This window comes from Homo sapiens, chromosome 2 (assembly GCF_000001405.40).
Source record: "Homo sapiens chromosome 2, GRCh38.p14 Primary Assembly".
NCBI lineage: Eukaryota > Metazoa > Chordata > Mammalia > Primates > Hominidae > Homo > Homo sapiens.
In genome coordinates this window covers 61,910,626-61,932,485 of record NC_000002.12, presented here as the reverse complement: position 1 = coordinate 61,932,485, position 21,860 = coordinate 61,910,626, and the positions used below count along the sequence as shown (strand labels likewise).

The window sequence follows — 21,860 nt, the reverse complement described above, 5'->3', positions numbered from 1 at the left end:
GTATATGGTGAACCAAGAAATGAAAGAAACAAAAAACAAAAAAAGAATATAAAGCCAATGGTTCTTTTATTTACACATCTCATTTGAGCTCCAAGCACAGAATATAGCTGCCTGTTTTACTATCAAGGGGTCTGTAAAACATAAGTGGTATCTGAATCTCTTGGCAATTCAGACAACTGAAATAACAGCAAGGAAATGCCATGAATGGAAGTACTGGATTTATAAATCCACTTGTGCCTTTTGTATACATTTTATCCAAAGAACTTTGCAGATTTAGACATTACTGTTAGAGAATAATTAAGAATGTAAGCAGAGAGGGAAGAAAAGGCCAGACGCGGTGGCTCAGGCCTGTAATCCCAGCACTTTGGGAGGCCAATGTAGGGGTGTCAATTGAGGACAGCAGATCGAGGCTGCAGTGAGCTGAGATCACGCCACTGCACTCCAGCCTTGGTGAGAGAGCAAGACCCTGTCTCAGAAAAAACAACAACAAAGACCATGGAGTCTTTCAAAGTCTCAGAGGCACACAACTGGGATAGAAATCCTGCAACTACCATCCTCAAATGCAAAGTTCCTTTGGTACGTATCTTCTCAAAATTCTCATTCCTCAAAGCTGTCTTTCCTAACGGAAACTAACATTTTTCACTAAGCCTTCTGGAATTTTACCCAATTGTCAACCAAGTCTCCAATATCCTTACTGATATACCATAATTTGTGATTCTAATGTCTCAAAATGAAGTCACTTATGTCAAGTAGCAGTGAGCCCACAGTAAAGCTGTTCACCCCCTCAAAGCCATAAACATATAGGTAATGGACTAAGGTAATAATATAGCACCTGCTGTTGCCCATTACCATCCAACACCTGAAATGAACTCATAAAAAGTGAAACAAGGCTGAGATAATGAAGAATAGACCAATCTGAGGAGGATCATAAAAGCAGCAAGAATAAGGCTAGTCCAAGACACCTTTAGAGGCTCTGCCCATGAGAACTTTGAGGTCTTCTTCCAACTTTGGCGGCTGCCACTGAAGGCTTTGCCAAAAAGCAGCAGCAACGCTACTATGTGATCAGCATCCAAAGGACTTCCAGACCCATTCAACTTGTCTATCAGCATATTGGTTTCCCAAGCCATCTCTGTGGTCCATTACCCTCCCTTATTTTATTTTTATTTATTTTTTTGAGACAAGGTCTCACTCTGTTACCCAGGTTGGAGTGCAGTGGCATGATCTTGGCTCACTGCAACCTCTACCTCCTGGGTTCAAGTGACCCTCTCACTTCAGCCTCCTGAGTAGCTAGGACTACAGGCACGCACCACCACACCCGGCTAATTTTTCTATTTTTTGTAGAGATGGGGTTTCATCAAGTTGGCCAGGCTGGTCTCGAACTCCTAACCACAAGTGATCCTCCTGCATCAGCCTCCCAAAGTGCGAGGATTACAGGCACGAGCCCCCATACCCAGCCTATCCTTCTTTAATTACTGCCTGTGTATAAGCTGAATGTTAATTACATATTTGACAGTCACAATAAGCCATGAGTTCGAGCATATATAATTGGCTATGGAGCCACTGAGAAACCTCACAGCTTCAGTCTGAGTTAGCATACCTAGGCAGTGTGAACCTAATTAATCTAACACTTATCATATCTGAAACTTGTTTCTTCCACCAAGAGCCCCAAAGACACACACTACCTCAGTTGCCTCAGCTTCAATTCCATGCCTATCAAGCAACCTTCCAACTATTATCTTAGTATTCCAGGTGACATAACATCTAAAAAAGGTATCTTAAATGATGGATACAAATAATTCTGGTGGATAGGTGAGCTCAAACACTCACTCACACACACACACACACACACACACACACACACACACACAAAACCCTGTGGTTTATCCAATAGTCTCTTAGAAGTCTCATTATTTTTTATTATTTTCTTTCCGAGACGGAGTCTTGCTCTGTCACCCAGGATAGAGTGCAATGGCATTATCTCGGCTCACTGCAACCTCCGCCTCACAGGTTCAAGAAATTCTACTGCCTCAGCCACCTGAGTAGCTGAGATTACAGGCACGTGCCACCACGCCTGGCTAATTTTTGTATTTTTAGTAGAGATGGGGTTTCACCATGTTGGCCAGGCTGGTCTTGAACTCCTGACCTCATGATCCGCCTGCCTCGGCCTCCCAAAGTGCTGGTATTACAGGCATGAGCCACCATGACCGGCCTTAGAAGTCTCTTTGGATCACTCTCTTAGAGACTAATCAGTTCTGGATGCCAGAGCAAAAGAGGTTTATAAAGTATCAATGCAGAATCCTGATCACTTTACAAGTTCTGCCAACCAAAGACTGACTGTCCTGGCAGTCAGCTGGCTTCCCCCTCTCAGAGAATTTCTCCTTTTACTGAACCTCAATAGCAGTCACCTGGACTTTTCATAAATCTGGGCATAATTACACAGAAAAGGTTGTAGGGGAGGAAAAATATCTTTCCCTCCCCCCATCTTAGGTTTATGGCTGAGTCCCTTATGATAAAAAACAGGTGAACAAAAGAAAAGCATACTTTTTTTTTTTTTGAGACAGGGTCTGGCTCTGTCACCCAGGCTGGAGTCCAGTGGTACAATCACAGCTCACTAGCTCACTACAGCCTTGTCCTCCCAGGCTCAGGTGATCCTCCCACCTTAGCCTCCAGAAAAGCTGGGACTACAGACATGCACCACCATACCCAACTAATTTTTTGTAAAGACCAGGTCTCATTATGTTGTTTAGGCTGGTCTTGAACTCCTGGGCTCAAGTGATCCTCCTGCCTTGGGCTCCCAAAGTGCTGGGATTACAGGTGTGAGCCAGTGCACCTGGCCTTACAAATTTAAGTTGTATATGACACAAGAGCTTTCATAAGGAAGTGTAGACCTGAAGAAACAGTTGAACCTGAATATTGTTATGCTAGGTTTGATGGAGAGAGGAGAGTCGTGGAGAAATATGATAGGGCAAAAGAGTATGATATAATGGTAATAAACTAGGGGAAATGTATTAAGGCCCATTTGCTGAGACTCTTCTTGGTGTCTATGTGTCTTCAGAGTGAGAGATGTTCCTTTCTTCTAGGTATAAGAAGGGCACCTCTCTGTGAAAGTTGCAGATAGCAAGATGAAATTAACTTTTGCTAGACCCCGACAAAATAGAGCCGGGAACGCCCAAAGAAGAGGAGGCCCATGCTTGTGAGATAAGAACAGTTTCCAAGGACTTTCTGAAAGTCATTCTGTGTCCTTCACACATCTCCTGCTTTGATAAGGTTTATCACTAGACATTCTTTAGGACTGCAGTAATTCAAATAATTATTGAACTGGAAACAGTTATCTCGGACATGTAATTCAGATAAAATGTTTTCAGAAGAACACTTGCCCAGTAAGGGCATCTCCACCAATGAACTGATAATAACTCTGGCTTTGAACCTCTGGAACCAATGAACTCCGCTCCTAAGCAGCTTATGTAAATCTCTTTTGCTAATAAAAGCTTCCCTTACCCTTCCCTCATGGAATGCACTGGTGGCTTGCCATTCCTTGCATTCCAGGTTATAATCCTTATTTCTATTCCTGAGTAAACACAACATGTATAGACATAGTTTTCTCTAGTATCCTTTTTTTAAGATTGACATTTCAGATGAGGATCTTGGGACCTGCTTCAAGAGGTCAGAAAATCCTTGAAAGGTTTTTATGACCTGTTTCAGGGGACTAGGGCAGGAAAAGGTGTGAGAGACCTTACTGCTTTGGCTATTTTCTCAAATGCCTTTAGCCTAAAAAATATTCAAGGCTGGTTTATAGCTTATCACAACCAGTTACAAATTTATTTGTTCCTTCTCCATTCCCACTGCTTCACTTGACCACCCTTAAAAATAAAAAAAATATGTCAAGGTACAACATTTTGGGGTAGCATGTCCTATAAAGGTTGTATTCCTGAGAATGTCAATATGTGACAAATTCCTTTTCCGAAACTGAAAAATGTACGCTTAGCTCTTTAGGATACTGAAAATAGATATTAAATAGCTCCCTGGGCCGGGCATGGTGGTTCACACCTGTAATCCCAGCACTTTAGGAGGCTAAGGTGGGCGGATCACTTGAGTCCAGGAGTTTGAGAACAGCCTGGGCAATGAAGTGAAACCCTGTCTCTACTAAAAATACAAAAATTAGCCAGGCATGGTAGCACATGCCTGTAATCCCAGTTACTCAGATGGCTGAGGCACGAGAATTGTGAACTTAGGAGGCGGAGGTCGTAATGTGCCGAGATTGTACCACTGCACTCCAGGCTAGGCAACAGAGGGAAACTCTGTCTCAAAATAAATAAATAAATAAATAGCTCCCTGCTTTATATTGCTTACTTTTTATATAATTTGTTAATTAAAAATTACAAAAGGTTACTATCACACTGGTCTTTAAGAAAAAAAAAACTGGCCAGGCACAGTGGCTAACACCTGTAATCCAAGCACTTCAGGAGGCTGAGGAGGGCAGATCACCTGAGGTCAGGAGTTTGAAACCAGCCTGACCAATATGATGAAACCCCATCTCTACTAAAAAAATAAAAATTAGCCAGGCGTGGTGGCATGCGCCTGTAATCCCAGCTACTCGAGAGGCGGAGACAGGTAAATCACTTGAACCCAGGAGGCAGAAGTTGCAGTGAGCCATTGCACTCCAGCCTGGGCAACAAGAGTGAAACTCAGTCTCAAAACAAAACAAAACCTTCAGAAGGCCACTGTTTTGGACTAAGCTACTCCACTAGGTCTCAACAGACAACGCTACAAATCAAAATGGAGTCACCCAGCCAGGCGCGGTGGCTCACGCCTGTAATCCCAGCACTTTGGGAGGCCGAGGCAGGTGGATCACGAGGTCAGGAGATCGAGACCATCCTGGCTAACATGGTGAAATCCCGCCTCTACTAAAAATACAAAAAAAATTAGCCGGGCATGGTGGCGGGCGGGCATCTGTAGTCCCAGCTACTCGCAAGGCTGAGGCAGGAGAATGGCATGAACCCGGGAGGTGGAGTGTGCAGTGAGCTGACATCGCGCCACTGCACTCCAGCCTGGGCTGCACAGTGAGACTCCATCTAAAAAACAAACAAACAAACAAAAAATGGAGTCACCCATGCTAAAGTTCACATCACCACTACTAAAACTAAGTTGTTATCTGACCTTCCAAAGAATGAGGACAGAGCCATAACAGCCAATTTTCCCAAAAGGCCAGTTACAGTCTTCAATTAGCATGAGAATGAGGTTTCCTTTGCTTCAATCCTTACACAAAAAAGGTAGCCTGAAGTAACCTGATGTTAAGTAGTCAGTTATTTTTCTATTGTTCTATCTCCCCATCGCTGCCTTACAAGGAAAGTAACTTTTTGAAATGACCAATCTGCATTTTATTCTTTGTTTCTGCTTTATTCAGCCCTTTCTGCCTATAAAACCAACCACCTCTGCTCAATTCATGGGAACATTTATTCTATTTTATTGAATGAAGTGTTGCCCAATTTTAGAGTTGCAAATACACAATTGAGATTGTTAAGCCAAAAGTGACTGAGGCACGTCTCAATAGATTAGAGGTTTATTTAGCCAAGGTTGAGGATGTGCCCAAGGGAAAAACAAATCACAGAGGCACCTGTGGCCTATACTTCTTCCAAAGGAGGTTTTGTGAACTTTGGTATTTAAAGAGGAAAGAGCAAGCAGGAGGGGGGAATAAAAGGAAGAACAGGTAGGCAGTGAGGCAGATGGTTACGTTCTTGTGAAGCTCCAATTAGCCTCAGAAAAATCTATATTTTACATGAGAAAAGAGGAAGTAAAGGAAAAAGCCAACTTTGTATTGTCTCAAGCTCAGTAAGTCGACATTTTACGTAAGATAAAGTAAACATGAAAAGAGAGTCGAAGAAATGAGGCTATGACATGGGGTTATGATATTATAGCTATTGATTTGGCAACAAAAGGAAAACTGTATGATGCCTCAGATCCCAAGTTTAACTTTCCCCTTTGCACAGTGAGTTTGGGGTTCCAGGATTCTATTTTTCTTTCTTAAGATCTTTAAACCAAATTAGTTGTAATTTTGTCTTTTGACAGATTATCATCACTATGTCTGAAAGTATATTCCACTGTAGCTGGATATGGCTCTCAAAGACAAATAACTAAAATCTAACCTCACAAAGGGGACAATCTTACTTGTACACTATTTACGCAAATTAATATGTTTAATTTAAAAAACACTAACTCGCCAGACGCAGTGGCTCACACCTGTAATCCCAACAATTCAGGAGGCCGAGGCAGGCAGATCACAAGGTCAGGAGATGGAGACCATTCTGGCTAACACAGTGAAACCCCGTCTCTACTAAAAAATACAAAAAATTAGCCAGGCGTGGTGGTAGGGACCTGTAGTCCCAGCTACTCGGGAGGCTGAGGCAGGAGAATGGCGTGAACCCAGGAGGCAGAGGTTGCAGTGAGCTGAGATCATGCCACAGCACTCCAGCCTGGGCAAAAGAGCAAGAGTCCGTCTCAAAAACAAAAACAAAAACAAAAAACAAAAAACAAAAAAAAAACACTAACTCTGCAATTGGCATTGCCTTTAAGCTATCCAGGACTCTTGTAATATATTGTCAGTGGATCTAAATACACATCCCTAATGTAAATAGTTTTCCTGAAAGAATAATGTAACTAACACTTTACCACACAGCAAGATTTTAAAATAGTAATACTGAGAAAAGAAAATAACTTTGAGGAATGTGAGTCCTTTTAAATTATGAGGCCCAGAGAGACATTAAAATGAGACAGCAGGCAAGTCCTACTGTTAAGGACAAACTGCCCCAAGAAAGCTTCTTGGTGCTGCCCACCCTTCCCCCAAACCTCTTTACATTTCTAAGCCCTTGTCTAGGCTCCACGGTGAAGCCAGCAGACTTCACTTATCAGACCTTGCTGCGATAAGCAAACCCCAATTACAAACCATCCAGACCCCACAGGGGGAGGTCGTAGGAAGCATAAACAAACTTTACCTACACCCTCCTGTAATAAACGTCACAAGGTGATATGTGGCAAAATTAACCAGCAAACAACCCCGGGATGCAGCCATACCAAAGAACTCCCTCAAACTCCCCTCCCCAATATAAACCCCTCATTCCATAAGCTTGGTGCTGCCTCCTCTGTCTGTGATGGAGCAGCCGGCAGGTTAGTAAACTTCCTCGCCTGACCTCAGGTCTCCCTCTCGTCCTTTCTCTCTGCTAACCTTACATTATGGTGCCAAAACCCAGGAAGCAGACAGACTCTGGCCGGGACTCACTCTCACTCTCTCTCTCCCCCACTCTCTCCCTCCCCTAACACCCCTCTCCCTGCCAATCTCCCTTTCCCCAAACCTGCCAAAGACCCAGAGAATCTCCTAGACTCTCCCATTGCTGGCGACTTCATCCACCATCAATGCATCAAAGCCTCCACCAGGGTGAGTGAAGAGACTGTTGCCTTGCCCCCGGAACCCTTGACCGTCTGTCTCTCCATTTCTGAAAGACCCAGCACTCGGCCAAGGGCTTCCTCCGGCCTCCAGGCCTCTGGTTCCTCTGCTTCAGGGACGCCTGATACAGCAGTTACCTCCTCTATTCCAGACAAGTTCCACGGGAAAGGGGACGCCCTCTCCTGTAGTCTTCGTCACCGACAGTCTCTTCTTCCTCTACCCACTGCTCCTCCATTCCGTGATCTCAATGCTCTCGGCCTCCGTTCAGAGATCTGTTTTAAGAGGCTTATCTTTCACTGCAATACTGCATGGCCCCAATACCAACTGGACAATGGCTCCCAATAGCCTGAAACGGGACTTTACAACTTTTGCCATCGCAATAGGAAATGGTCTGAGATTCCTTATGTTCAGGCTTTCTTCACTCACTGTAACTGCCCTTCCCTCTGTCAGTCTGGTTCTACTTTCCAAATTCTCCTCACCCGCTCCAAACCAGACTCACCTCCTGCTTCCCTCACCCCAACAGCCCTAGCCGACGACTTCTCCTCCTTTGATCTGGCTGATTTCTCCCCTCCTCGACAACATCCTAATCCTCCACCGAACAGCATGACCCCCCACCATATGCCTCTGCTCCACTCTACCTCTCTCTTCCCCCCTCTCCAACCATCCCCCCTCCGACTCTGAGTCCTCCCTACCACCACCCCTTACTCGTTCTCAAGCCCAACACGCCCAGCAGCCCACTCCCTTGCTTCCTCCTATTTTTCTCCTGTCCACTTCTCCCTCAGAGAGAGATTCTGTATAGTTGGCTAAGGAAATCAGAAATTTAATCAAACCTTACCAGAGGTAAGAGTGGGTGGCTCCATATGGTCTCCTCACCTGTAAGTAAACCCACCTGAAACACTGCAGAGTGACATGGTTTGGCAGCTACACTGAAACAGTTCATGCTTCACACTATTAAAGAAATTCTCTTTCTAGACTGGGCGTTGTGGCTCACACCTGTAATCCCAGCACTTTGGAAGGCCATGGCGGGTGGATGGCTTGAGCACATGAGTTCAAGATCAGCCTGGGCAACATGGCGAAACCCCATCTCTACAAAAAATACAAAAATTCACTGGGTGTGCTGGTGCACATCTGTATTCTCAACTACTCAGGAGGCTGAGGTGGGAGGATGGCTTCAGCCTGGGAGGAGGAAGTTGCAATGAGCCCAGATCACACCACACTGCACTCCAGCCTGGGCAATAGAGCCAGACCTTGCCTCAAAACAAAAAACAAACAAACAAAAAAACTCTTTCTAAATATAAATCTGAGCTTATGTCACTTGCCCAATTAAAACTTTTTCACTGGCTCCCTGCTCACCACAAAATAAAGCCCATATGTGTCAGCATTCTTGACTATCAGGTCCCCTTTATCATCTTATCTCACATGGTTCACAGTGACCTTGGTATCCTTGGACTCAACACACATTTCTATACTTACATGTCTTAATGTTGTTCTTCCTATATAGAACCCCTTATTCTGCTTGTGGAAATATTTCCTACTCCTAACTTAAAAGCTGTTATATTCTAGTAACTGTTATATCCTATTACAACTCATTCATTAGGCTTTTATTTTGCTTTCAATTCTCATCATTTAGCTAGATGTTGAGAAATACACAGTGTTTTCCTCATCTGTATATTCCCCTCAATACTTAGCACAATACTTTGCACATAGTTTAATGTATATAGGAATGAATTAAGCACTATTTATCACCTGACTAAAAGGATTACAATTCTGCATCATCCATCATTTAGTTTACCCACCTAGACAGAAGAAAATTAATGACTACACCTAATCTAATGAAATATTGAAGGTTTATAATTTAATAATTTAAAAATCTTGATAGATATCCCATAAAAAGTAGCAGTTTCTGTTTTTGAGTCCACTAATCAAGTAAGCTTCAAAATCTTCATACTCCAAATGCCTGAAAGAACAGCTTAGTATCTGCTTCAGCAAAATCTCTTGAGGCTAGATATCTTGAAAAGCAATTTGCTGCCTTCCACATTACCCAAGTCTAATTACAGAATATTACATCAGGATTATATTAAATTACACTGTTATTCAACAAAAAGATCTACAATTTTAGTCACTCCAGAACAAATTTACATGCTAACCCAGAAACCATGTAAAGCAAAGTCAATGGTGGTTCTATGGATAATCAACTTAACTGTCTTCCTCCAAACAGATGTGTGTCCCCCTTTCTTATCTTTCTCCTAAATACTGGATATACAATCTTTGGCCAGAAGCCTGTATGGGGTCTTTTAAAGTAATTACAACTAATAGCATCTGTGAAATTACTTCACATTTGTCTGTTTTAATCAATTTCAAGTTGCATAAAGTTACATAAGGGGAAAGAAATAAACCTCGCAAATTTTTATAATAAAACTACCACAATCCTAGGCCGGGCATGGTGGCTCACACCTGTAATCCCAGCACTTTAAGAGGCCGAGGCGGGTGGATCACCTGAGGTCAGGAGTTTGAGACCAGCCTGGCCAACATGGTGAAACCCATCTCTACTAAAAATACAAAATTAGCCAGGCATAGTAGCTCACGCCTATAATCCCAGCTACTTGGGAGGCTGAGGCAGGAGAATTGCTTGAACCCAGAAGGCAGAGGTTGCAGTGAGCCAATATCGTGCCATTGCATTCCAGCCTGGGCAACAAAAGTGAAACTCCATCTCAAAACAAACAAACAAACAAAAAAACTGCCACAATCCTATAAAAATAGGATGGAAGCACAATCTTCAAAACCAGATTAACAAGGTAAAAGTCCGCTTTTAGCGTAAATCTTTAGAATCTTCCCTGCATTGGCCCAGATTTCTCCAAAACATAATTCCACATCACAGTTAAATGCCAAAAATCACCAAGTTTTCTAATATCATAACACAAAACATTATAAAACGAAGACCTACTCATTTTCTGTATTAAAAGGGCTATAAAACTGATCATTTTCTACAATTTTTCTTGTATAGTCTGTTACTATAATAAAATGGTAACAAATATATTCAAATCCAAAATATTCTACAGAATACATCGACAGGAAAACAGTCTTCTTACTAGTGGTCCTGGAAAAAAAATTTAAATAAAGAACAAGAATAACTGTAAAGTTAAATAATAGTTTAAAAAACCAATCTTCCAGTTTGCACCTCTAAGAAACACAATGGCTGTTTCTTAGAGATCAAGGTTGTTTTTTGTTGAATCATGCAAACAGGCAGTTAAAGAAAGGTGAAAGCAAACTATCAATCACCATTCCCCCAAAATAATACTGGGTTGGGCTGGGCACGGTGGCTCACGCCTGTAATCCCAGCACTTTGGGAGGCCAAGGCGGGTGGATCACAAGATTAGGAGGTCGAGACCATCCTGGCTAACACGGTGAAACCCCGTCTCTACTAAAAATACAAAAAATTAGCTGGGTGTGGTGGCAGGCCCCTATAGTCCCAGCTACTCGGGAGGCTGAGGCAGGAGAATGGGATGAACCAGGGAGGCTGAGCTTGCAGTGAGCAGAAATCGTGCCACTGCACTCCAGCCTGGGAAACAGAGCAAGACTCTGTCTCAAAAAAACAAAAACAAAAACAAAATAATACTGGGTTGGTCTAGTTCTCAGAAACAATGACCAACAGTATATATTCAGATTCAATATTCAATATTTCTGTAAATGACTAAAGCCAAGAATTTAACACATTTTAAATGGTTACAAATGTTTACTTCTATTGTATTATGATTGAAGATAAAAAATATATTTTTTAGGCCAGGCATGTTAGCTCACACCTGCAATCCCAGCATTTTGGGAAGCCAAGGTGGGTGGATCTCTTGAGGTCAGGAGTTCGAGATTAGCCTGGCCAATATGGTAAAACCTTGTCTCTACTAAAAATACAAAACTTGGCCAGGCACGCACCTGTAGAACCAGCTACTCAGGAAGCTGAGGCAGGAGAATCATTTGAACCCGGGAGGTGAAGGTTGCAGTGAGCCGAGATCCCACCTCTGTACTCCAGCCTCAGTGACAGAGTAAGGCTCTGTCTCAAAAAAAAAAAAAATATATATATATATATACACACATATATATATACACAAACACACGTATATGTATACATATACACATACATATATATACACACACACACATTTATATATATATATAAACATATATACCTCCAGGATTTTCTCTAGTAAAAATCTTTAAGGGTTAGGATTCCTTCTGCACTCACTGGAAAATCAAAACAGATTTGGATCCACTGTCAAGTGGCTATTTATGACACAAGCAGAGCACTAAATGTTCAAGATGCTTCTAAATTACACCCTTTAGTACTAGAAGCTCATTGTTACTGGCTTTTATTCTGCCAGGTTACTTTTACCCAGTAACTAACTTACCATCTCAGTTGTCATTTTTGAATAGGACTCCTTTCTTCATCAACAAGGGGTAAAAATTACCCATAATGAAGCACCACATATATTTCTTCCTATTAAACACTCCAAGCAACACCTCAGCCTTTAACTTCATGGGGAAAGAATTTAGCCTTTTTTAGAGGAACACTTTTGGCCAACTCAGAAATGTAAGTGTGGGAGAGTCTCCAGAAGCAATTACAAAGTTTAAAAAAAAAAAAAAGTATGTTCTTTCTTTCCCTCTTTATTTTTAGAACTCTCTCTGCAGTACTGTTGATGGTCCATTGAACCTTCTCCTGGGAAAGAGTACTTGATTAGCATAGTATCCAACTTCATTGTAAAAATTAACATTTTTGTGTAAAAAAAAATTACTGCTCAAGAATCAGAATTGCTTAGAGGTCATCTCTTATAACCATAGCCCTACTACCAGCTGAAATTCATAGGTCTAAACAGGAGAATATTCCTGAGCCTGTGGAAATTTAAATGACATAATAATAAAGAAAAAGAGAAAAGACAGAAAAATACTGCACTAGCTGTACTAGATCTTTTTCAAGTGATCCTCCTGCACATCCTCAACCTCTGGGGCTCAAGTGATCCTTGGCCTCCTGCCTCCTGAGTAGCTGGGACCACAGACATGGGCTAGTATGCCTGGCTGATTTTTTTTATTTTTTTGTAGAGACAGGGGCTCCCTATGTTGCCCAGGCTGGTCTCGAACTCCTGGCCTCAAGCAATCCTCCCACCTCAGCCTCCCAAAGTGCTGGGATTATAGGCATGCGTCATTGCACCCAGTCTGTACTAGACCTTTAAAGAACTATTGGAGAAGCTGTAAAAGACGAGACAATAGTAGAGGTATACAACTTAGGGAGGAAAATATTCAAATTTATTTAGTTATGTGCTATGCAGCTTTAAAGCAAAACAATTCTCTGTTATAAAGGCATTTAAAAGAAGCAAAACTCAGGGCACCAGTTCCTACCTCACAATCTATTTGTAAAGACAAAGCTGAGCCAAATTAAACTATATAAAACTTGTCAAATCAACCTGTCTGTGAATAGATAAAAACTGGTTCTCTACTCAATGAAAAAAAAAAAAAAACGCGATGAAGCCTGATCGACATGGCAAAACCCTGTCTCTACAAAAAAAAAAAATACAAAAATTAGTTAGGTGTAGTAGTGCATGCCTGTAGTCTCAGCTACTTGAGAGGCTGAGGTGGGAGGATCGCTTGAGCCCGGGCGGCAGAGGCTGCAGTGAGCTGCGATGGCACCACTGCACTCCAGTCTGGGAGACTGAACAAGACGCTGCCTCAAAAACAAAAAAAAGAGGCCGAGCCCAGGCACGGTGGCTCCCGCCTGTAATCCCAGCACTTTGGGAGGCCGAGGCGGGCACATCACCTGAGCTTGGGAGTTCGAGACCAGCCTGAAGCAACATGGAGAAACCCTGTCTCTACTAAAAATCCAAAATTAGCTGGGCATGGTGGCGCATGCCTGTAATCCCAGCTACACGGGAGGCTGAGGCAGGAGAATCGCTTAAACCTGAGAGGCAGAGTCTTCGGTGAGCCGAGATCACACCATTGCACTCCAGCCTGGGCAACAAGAGCAAAACTCCATCTCAAAAGAAAAAAAAAAGTTAATCTTACAAATAAAGCACAGGTAACAGAAACCATCTCCAAATTTCTAAAATTATTGTTTTAAACATTTACTTGAAACATAAATTTTTGTCAAAGATGAACCACATAACAGAAGTCCAAATTTATAAAAACTGCATTCTACATTAAGATAGAGCTAAAAATGTGGGTGTTTTATTAAGACAAAAAAATCATGATTTTTTTTCATATTTCTGCAGTTTAAGGATCCACTCCACCAGACTGCATCATTTATACCTTTCTCATGGCATTTATCATATATAAGATAGGGACAGTGACATTTACCTTGTGTATAGAGCAAGGTTCAGCATATTAGGGGTTTAGTATGTATTTAATAGGTAAATCAAAGATAAACATTTCCTTTAAAATCTCCTTACCCAGCCACTCCTTTAACCCAAGTCAAGTTTCCAGGCCCAGAATAGCTGCTTTGAGAAAAGGAAAACCAAAAATAGATTAATTGAATGGGTTTTGCCCTAAACTAAGAAAAAAGATTTACAGGACATTTGGCCTCATTACAGGTCACCTGAGTCTATTAAAATACTCTACAAATCCCAGGTGGGTAATCTGCAATTGCTGCTTTATCATATGACGTCCAGTGTTATAAAAAAGTAACATCAGTCATTTGTCTATTCTTCAGAGAATGAATAATATGTCTCATGTATTACCATCTAAAGTCTCAAAAATGTTCAGTGAAATTAGCAAAACTTAGTCGCTTAAAAACTAGAGAACTAAAAGGAATATATTTATAGAACTTTAAATTTTCCAGAAAATGGTATTTCTAAATTAAAAATATCAAGTCAAATATTTAGACATCTTTTTGGATAATAAATTTTTATTGTTGAGTAGCCAACTTTTGAGCATTTTCTGAACTAGAAACATTCCAGAGAAAGAACATTTCAACATGATGTTGCTTCTAGCATACTTTATCAGTGCATTGGCAAGCCAATATTCCACTGCCACCTACAGTAGAAAAACAGAATTACTGCTTATAGTTAAGGATGTAGACAGAATACAAATGAAACCTAAAAGTATGACCTAAGAAGTCAAAAGTTACCAGTCTCTTCTGTTTCCTAATATAAACACTTTAAGACTATATATTCTACATCCATTATTTTATACTCAAGTTAACTTCTTATTAACATATGTTATCCAAAATGTGTAAGCGAGGCCGGGCGCAGTGGCTCACGCCTGTAATCCCAGCACTTTGGGAAGCCAAGGCGGGCGGATCACGAGGAGTGGAAATCAAGACCATCCTGGCTAACACGGTGAAACCCCGTCTCTACTAAAAATGCAAAAACAAAATTAGCCGGGCGTGATGGTGGGAGCCTGTAGTCCCAGCTACTCCGGAGGCTGAGGCGGAAGAATAGCGTGAACCAGGGAGGCAGAGCTTGCAGTGAGCCGAGATCACGGCACTGCAGTCCAACCTGGGAGACACAGCGAGACTCCGTCTCAAAAAAAAAAAAGTATGAGCGAAGTTTCTTCTTAAATTCACTCTAAAATATCAAAAAGGTAATACATGATAATATTAATACCATTCATTAATAATGCCATTCTTTGATTTTAAAAAACTCATCACTAACGCATAGTAAACTTCAGCCATTTTGTAAACTTGATACCAAATGCACTTTTTTTTTTTTTTTAAACTGGAGTCTGGCTCTGTCTCCCAGGCTGGAGTACAGTGGCACAATCTCGGCTCACTGCAACCTCCGCCTCCCGGGTTCAAGCGATTCTCCTGCCTCAGCCTCCCCAGTAACTGGGATTACAGGTGCACGCTACCATACCCGGCTAATTTTTTTTGTAGTCTTAGCAGAGACGGGGTTTCATCATGTTGGCCAGGCTGGTCTCAAACTCCTGACCTCAAGTGATCCACCCACCTCGGCCTCCAAAAGTGCTGGGATTACAGGCATGAGCCTTTGTGTCCGGCCCCAAATGCACTTCTAAGCTTCTGTTTTTACTGCAATTGCTTTCCATAAAAATTTCCCAGGTATTTAGCAAGCAGGATCAAATTATGCTTTTAAAATAATACTACAATATGCAAAACACCAAACTACTGGAATATTTAAAATATAAAGAGGTTAAATGAAGGCATTTAACTTCTTCACAATTTACATCATACCCCAAAATGTCTTAGCAATAAAATGTTTGTCAAAATCCTCTAAAAAGAACTTCGAGTGCTGGGTACAAATGGACTAAATTCCTAATACTACATTCCAAATACTGCATTTTAAAATCACAGTTGAGACGATTAAATTTTTAAAAAGCTAAATACAGGTCAGACATGGTGGCTTATGCCTGTAATCCCAGCACTTTGGGAGGCCGAGGTGGATAGATCACTTGAGCCCAGGAGTTCAAAACCAGCCTGGACAACATAGGGAGACCCTGTCGCTAAAAAAAATTTTTTTTTTAAATTAGCCGGGCATGTTGGCACACACCTGTAGTCCCAGCCACTCAGGGGGCTGAAGTAGGAAGATCGCTTGAGCCCCAGAAGTCAAGGCTGCAGTGAGCTATGATCACGCCATTGCACTCCAGCCTGGTCAACAGAGCTTGACCTCATCTTTAATAAATAAAATTTAAAAAGCAAAATGCAGAAAGTTATGTACAGTATACTCCACCTTGTGTCTGAAAGAAAGAAAAGGCTGTTGGCTAAACATAGTAGTATATTGTTCTTAAGAGAAGATAACTCTTGGAAATTTAAAACATGATTAAATGAAAAATTCAATTAAAAGGCCAGAAGAGACCAGGTGTGGTGGTTCAGGCTTGTAATCCCAGCACTTTGGGATGCCAAGGCAGGAAGATCACTTGAGTCCAGGAGTTTGAGACCGGCCTGGGCAACATGGTGAAACCCATCTCTACAAAGAAATACAAAAAATTTAGCCAGGAGTGGTGCCACACACCTGTAGATCGAGGTTCAGGTGGGAGAATCACTTGAGCCCGACAGGTCAAGACTGCAGTAAACCATGTGCACACCACTGCACTCCAGCCTGGGCAACATAGTGAGACCTTGTCTCAAATAAATAAATAAATAGGCTGGGCGCAGTGGCTCATGCCTGTAATCCCAGCACTTTAGGAGGCTGAGGCAGGAGGATCACTTGAGCCCAGGAGTTGAAAACCAGCCTGGACAACATAAGACCCCATCTCTATTTTATTTTTAATAATCAAAAAAACTAAATAAAATAAATAAGTTAAATAAAGGCTATAAAAGGCCAAGCGTGGTGGCTCATACCTGTAATCCCAGCAATTGGGAGGCTAAAGAGAGAGGGTTGCTTAAGCCCAGGAATTTGAGACCACCCTGGACGATATGGGGAGATTCTGTCTCTAAAAAAAGATAAAAATAAAAAAATTAGGCAGGCATGGTGGTGAGCATTTACAGTTTCAGCTACTCAAAAGGCTGAGGTGGGAGGATCATTGGAGCCCAAGAGGTCAAGGCTGCAAGTGAGACATGATCATGCCACTGCACTCCAGCCTGGGTGACAGAGTGAGACTATGTCTCTTAAGAAATTTTTAATCAATTTTTAAATGTGTTTGAAGGCTAGAAGATAAAGTTAAGGAAGTCAATCAAAAAGTGGGAAAAAAACACATGAAAAATGGGGTAGAAAATAAGAGAAAATTAGAATAATCAGTCTAGGAGGTCTAACATTTGAAAAATCAGAGTGCAAGAAAGAGAATAGAAAAAAAGAGATAAAATAATCCGGGCTGGGTGCAGTGGCTCACGCATGTAATCCTAGCACTTAGTGGGGCCAAGGCAGGCGGTTCACTTGAGCTCAGGAGTTGGAGACCAACCTGACCAACATGACGAAACCCCATCTCTACTAAAAATACAAAAATTAGCCAGACATGGTGGTGCACACCTGTAATCCCAGCTACTTGGGTGGATGAAGTAAGAGAATTGCTTGAACCTGGTGGGGCAGAGGTTGCAGTGAGCCGAGATCATGCCATTGCACTCCAGCATAGGCAACAAGAGCAAAAGTCCATCTCAAAAAAAAAAAAAAAGGAAAGAAAAGAAAGGAATTTGGCCAGGTACAGTGGCTCATGCCTGTAATCCCAAACATGAGGCCCAGGTGGGTGGATCACTTGAGGCCAGGAATTTGAGACCAGCCTGACCAACATGGTGAAACCCTGTCTCAACAAAAGCACAAAATTTAGCCAGGCGTGGTGGCACACACCTGTAATCCCAGCCACTCGGGTGGCTGAGACACGAGAATCGCTTGAACCCAGGATGCGGAGGTTGCAGTGAGCCAAGTTTGCACCACCGCACTCCAGCCTGGGCAACAGAGTGAGACTCTGTTTCAAAAAACAAAACAAAAAACCCCAGAAAACAAATCAAAGTGCTGAAATACAGGCATGAGCCACCTCGCCCAACCACAATTATTTCTTATAATCTTTTCCTATTATCATTCTTAACATCTTATTACTATTTTTTGTTTTGAGACAGAGTCCCGTCTGTCGCCCAGGCTGGAGTGCAGTAGTGCAATTTTGGCTCACTGCAACCTCCACCTCTGGGGTTCAAGCAATTCTCCTGCCTCAGCCTCCCAAATAGCTGGGACTACAGGTACACGCCACCATGCCTAATTTTTGTATTTTTAGTAGAGACAAGGTTTCATGGCTAATTTTTGTATTTTTAGTAGAGACAAGGTTTCACTATGCTGGCCAGGCTAGAGGTCATTTTTAATTTACTACAGATCTCAGGAGTCTAAAGAACAAGCTAGTGAAATTCCTCAAAGAGCAAATAGTCCCCATTTCCAATTTGTAGATATTTATCAAGTAACCAACTTCAAAACATAATTTATATATTATATTGTTTCCAATTTTATTTATTTATTTATTTGAGATGGAGTCTCCCTCTGTTGACCAGGCTGGAGTGCAGTGGCGCAATCTCCGCTCACTGCAAGCTCCGCCTCCTGGGTTCACGCCAGTCTCCTGCCTCAGCCTCCCAAGTAGCTGGGACTACAGGCTCCCACCACCACACGTGGCTAATTTTTTTGTATTTTTAGTACAGACGGGGTTTCCCCATGTTGGCCAGGATGGTCTTGATCTCCTGACCTCATGATCCGCCCACTTCAGCCTCCCAAAGTGCTGGGATTACAGGCGTGAGCCACCGCACCCAGGGGGGTTCCAAATATTATAATAAACATTATGAGTTTGAGAACAGATGTTTGGAACAGAGGTTAACACACTTTTCTTTTTTTTTTTTTTTTTTTTTGGAGATGGAGTCTCGCTCTGTTGCCCAGGCTGGAGTGCAGTGGTGCAATCTTGGCTCACTGTACGCTCTGCCTCCCGGGTTCATGCCATTCTCCTGCCCCAGCCTCCTGAGTAGCTGGGACTATAGAAGCCCGCCACCATGCCCAGCTAATTTTTTGTATTTTTAGTAGAGCCAATTTTTAGTAGAGCCAATTTTTAGTAGAGCTAATTTTTAGTAGAGCCAATTTTTAGTAGAGCTAATTTTTTAGTAGAGCTAATTTAGTAGAGCCAACTTTTAGTAGAGCTAATTTTTTGTATTTTCACCATTTTAGCCAGGATGGTCTCGATCTCCTGACCTCATGATCCATCTGCCTCGGCCTCCCAAAGTGCTGGGATTACAGGCATGAGCCACCATGCCCGGCCACTTTTCTCTTTTTTTTTTTTTTTTTTTTGAGATGGAGTCTCACTCTGTTGCCCAGGCTGGAGTGCAGTGGTGCGATCTTGGCTCACCACAACCTCCGCCTCCCAGGTTCAAGGGATTCTCCTGCCTCAGCTTCCCGAGTAGCTGGGACTACAGGTGCACACCACCATGCCCAGCTAATTTTTGTATTTTTAGTAGAGATGGGGTTTTATTATGTTGGCCAGGGTGGCCTCGAACTCCTGGCCTCACAATCCACCCACCTTGGCCTACCAAAGTGCTGGGATTACAGGCATGAGCCACTGCACCTGGCCACTTTTTTCTTTTAAATTTTTAGAGATGGAGTCTCCCTCTGTTGCCTAGACTGGAGTGCAGTGGCTATGCACAAGCAAAACCATGCTGCCCTACAGCCTTGAGTTCTTGGGCTCAAGCAATCTTCTCACTCCAGCCTCCTGAGTAGCTGCTACTGCAGGCCTGTGCCACCACGCAGGTCAGCAAACTTTTTCTGTAAACGTTCAGATGGTAAATATTTTTGGCTTTGAAGGTCACATGACCTCTATCACAGCCATTCAATTCTGTTATTAGAGTGGCTAAAGCTACTACAGACAAGATATAAGTAAATGAGCATGTAGTCATGTTACAATAAAACTGTTTTTTTTTTTTTTTTGAGATGGAGTCTTGCTCTGTCGCCAGGCTGGAGTGCAGTGGCACGATCTCGGCTCACTGCAACCTCCACCTCCCAGGTTCAAGCAATTCTCCTGCCTCAGCCTCCTGAGTAGCTGGGACTACAAGCACATGCCACCACACCCAGCTAATTTTTGTATTTTTAGTAGAGATGGAATTTCACCATGTTGGCTAGGATGGTCTCCATCTCTTGATCTCGTGATCTGCCCGCCTTGGCCTCCCAAAGTGCTGGGATTACAGGCATGAGCCACCGCACCTGGCCTAAAATAAAACTTTATTTCTAAAGACAGGCAACAGGCCAGATTAGTCCCAAAGGACATAGTTTGCTGACCCCTGGTTTAGAGTACTACATTTCCTAGCTTTCCTCATATGGTAAGTGGTATATGTTTTCTCTCTATGCCAATCTTTTTAATAGCAATCTCCACATTTAAACACTCTCAATTCATTCACTTATTCTACAAACTTTTACTAAGTGCCTACTACATGCCAGACACAATATTAGGTATAAGGAATAAAGAAGAAACAATAATAATAATAAAGTCCTGCCCTCCTAATGCTTACATTCTAGTAGAATAGTTAACAAATAAATAAGCTGATAAATACATAATATAATTTCAGGTAATACTAAGTATGAAGAAAAAGTAAAGCCAGGTAAAAAGTAAGAGGAAGGAAGAATGAGGGTCTTTATAATATAAGTCAGGGAAGAGCTCATAGGAAATGACGTTCAGGTAGAGAATGAATTAAACAAATGAACAAGCCACATGAATATCTACAGGAAAAACACTTCACATGATTAAATAAGGACAAGATTAGAGTGCTGGAAATGAGAAAATGAGATCAGAGAAGTGAGTAAGGGTAAGATCATGTAAGGACCTGTGGCCTAGGGCAGAAGGACTGAATTTTATTCTAAGTTTGATGTGAAGCCAGGAACATGAAATAGTTGAGAGCAGGAGAGTAAAGAGGTATAACGCACTTTTTTAAAGGATCACTGGTACCTATGCAGAGGACAGACTGTAGAGGGCAGGAGTGGAACAGGAAGGCCACTATATGCTGTTGCAAGTATTTCTAGACTTCTAAAATAGGATCTAGGCAGGATGGCTCATGCCTGTAATCTCAGCACTTTGGGAGACTGAGGCAGGAGGATCACTCGTGGTCAGTTCAGGGCTACAGTGAATTATGACTGCACCACTGCGCTCCAGCCTGCGTGACAGAGTGAGTCCCTGTCTCTAAATAAATAAATAAATAACAGAGTTTTGCTCATTGCCCAGGCTGGAGTGCAATGGTGCCATCCCGGCTCACTGCAACCTCCACCTCCCAGGTTCAAGCCATTCTCCTGCCTCAGCCTCACAAGTAGCTGGGATTATAAGCACCTGCTGCTACAACCAGCTAATTTTTTGTATTTTTAATAGAGACGGGGTTTCACCATGTTGGCCAGGCTGGTCTCAAACTCCTGACCTCAGGTGATCCGCCCACCCTGGCCTCCCCAAAGTGCTGGGATTACAGGCGTGAGCCACTGAGCCCAGCCTGGATAAATTAACATTTGATTGATATAAATGAGTACTAGAGTATATGAATTAGTAATAGACAACACAAAAGGAGAATTTTCATTAAAAAAAAAAATTTTTTTTTTTTTTAGATGGGGTTTCGCTCTTGTTGCCCAGGCTGGAGTGCAATGGCGCGATCTCGGCTCACCACGACCTCCGCCTCCCGGGTTCAAGTGATTCTCCCACCCCAGCCTCTCGAGTAGCTGGGATTGCAGGCATGAACCACCATGTCTGGCTAATTTTGTATTTTTAGTAGAGACGGGGTTTCTCCACGTTGGTCAGGCTGATCTTGAACCAGGGACTTCAGGTGATCCACCTGACCCGGCCTCCCAAAGTGCTGGGATGACAGGCGTGAGCCGTGGCGCCCGGCCTAAAATTTTTTGTTTAAAATTCCAATGAGGAAATACAAAATCATCACCAGAGGGCAGTAGTGAATACAGACTAAGGTATACAAAAGGTGATTGATCTTCATAGTTAGATTATGCTCTTTCAGTAAACTGGGATTTACTGGAATTGAGCATATCCACAAGGTTAACAGCAATAGCAA

General features: G+C 42.4%; 1 protein-coding gene across 6 annotated transcripts in view, besides 1 other annotated feature; it reads right to left on the bottom strand.

Annotated features, from left to right (window-relative positions):
- COMMD1 (copper metabolism domain containing 1) overlaps positions 1-21,860 on the bottom strand; it is a 247,668-nt gene that overhangs the window by 203,573 nt on the left and 22,235 nt on the right. The window contains exon 1 of one of the 6 annotated variants that reach the window (XM_017003412.2): positions 11,620-11,644. The exons of the other annotated variants lie outside the window; for them this stretch is intronic. The gene's annotated coding sequence lies outside the window, so the exon portion shown is untranslated. Of the gene's footprint in view, positions 1-11,619; positions 11,645-21,860 lie in introns of those variants that run through there. 6 annotated transcript variants of the gene reach the window in all.
- Positions 14,833-15,333: an enhancer, noted in NCBI's record as "H3K4me1 hESC enhancer chr2:62144288-62144788 (GRCh37/hg19 assembly coordinates)". NCBI's record gives its function as "activates a minimal SCP1, AML or CMV promoter by ChIP-STARR-seq in naive H9 embryonic stem cells {active_cell/tissue: H9 hESC(naive)}" and the evidence as "EXISTENCE:reporter gene assay evidence [ECO:0000049][PMID:30033119]".